This window comes from Homo sapiens, chromosome 14, assembly GCF_000001405.40.
Source record: "Homo sapiens chromosome 14, GRCh38.p14 Primary Assembly".
In the NCBI taxonomy this organism is placed as follows: Eukaryota; Metazoa; Chordata; class Mammalia; order Primates; family Hominidae; genus Homo; species Homo sapiens.
Genome location: NC_000014.9, coordinates 49,470,480 through 49,472,094, shown reverse-complemented (window position 1 = coordinate 49,472,094; position 1,615 = coordinate 49,470,480).

Sequence of the window (1,615 nt, the reverse complement as noted above, 5' to 3'; positions counted from 1 at the left end):
TACCTATTGCTGGATTTCCCAAATGCTTCAAGAGAGCTGCCAAATGCCCATCATTAGTCTTTCTTTTCTGATGCTCAAGAACTTCATTCATTCTCCAGTTATGCTGTTTCCCTCAGCAGTCTTTCTCCTGCAGCTTTCTGCCTTTTTGTTCCACTCTTGCTTGGCGAGGTCTAGGCTTGAAGCACAGCTGATGTCCTGAGAATTCTCTTAGGACATCTTGTGTGTCAGATTCTATGCTTCTTAGTTCTCCTGTCTTATGCTTACTTTTGCTTCACCCCACCCTGCTTTTTTTCTTTCTGGAAACTTTTAGAATCTTTATTCCCGGTGTGAGTCTTTCTTCATTCGTTGTGCTTGGGACATGGACCCTTTCAATTTGAGCGCTTGTGCCACTCTGTTTGGAAATTTTTCTTGTATTATGTCTTTGTGAGATCCTCCCCTCTGTTTTTCTCTGTTCTCTCATAATGGAACTTGTATTATTTCTGTGTCTTTTTTAATTTATAAAGAAAAGAAATTTAATTGGTTCATGGTTCTGCAAGCTGTACAGGAAGCATAAGCAGGCATCTGCGTCTGCGGAAGCCTCTGCAAGCTTACAATCATGGCAAAAGGAGAAGCTTGTGCTTGCAGGTCACATGGCAAAAGGAGGATATTTCAGTGAATGATTCCCTAATTTTCTTATTCATCTCCTATTTTCCATTTCTTTGTCTATTTGTTCTACTTCTGGAGATTTCCTCAACTGAGATCACATTCCAAACTTTATTGAGTTTTTCTTTTTGCTTTCACATGTATTAAAAAATTTCCAACATTTTCCTAGCCCTTATGTCTATTTTTTTTTAAAACAGCCCTCCTTTTTTATTTCATGAATGCACTACGTTCTTTTCACTCTCCGTGGACATTTAATTTGGATTTAATAAATTATTATTATTATTTTAATTGCACATGATATTTGTACATATTTATGGGGTACATGTGATGTTTCCATACATGTATATAATGAGTAATAACCAAATCAGGTTAATTAGCATATCCATCACCTTAAACATTTATCATTTCTTTGTGCTGGGAACATCAAAAACTCTCTTCCAGCTATTTTGGAATATACAATAAATTGTTAACTATAGTCATCCTACTGTGCTATAGAACACTAGAACTTATTCCTCCTATCTAGCTGTAATTTTGTACCTGTTAACCAACCTCTCTGTATCCCTCCCTCCTTCATACCCTTCACAGCTTCTGGTAACTACTATTTTATTCTCTATTTCTATGAGATCAATTTTTTTTTAGCTTCCACATATGAGTGAGAACATAGCATTTGTCTTTCTGTGCCTGGCTTATTTCACTTAAAATAATGGCCTCCAGGCTCATCCATGTTGCTACAAATGACAGGATTTCATTCTTTTTTTATGACTGAATAATATTCCATTTTGTGTATATACTACATTTTCTTTTTCCATTCATCTGTTGATAGACACTTAGGTTGATTCAATATCCTGGCTGTTGTGAATAGTGCTGTAATAAGCATGGAAGTGTAGCTATCTCTTTCACCTATTGATTTCCTTTCTTTTGGATATATACTCGGTGGGATTGCTGGGTCATATGGTATGGTATTTCTCTTTTT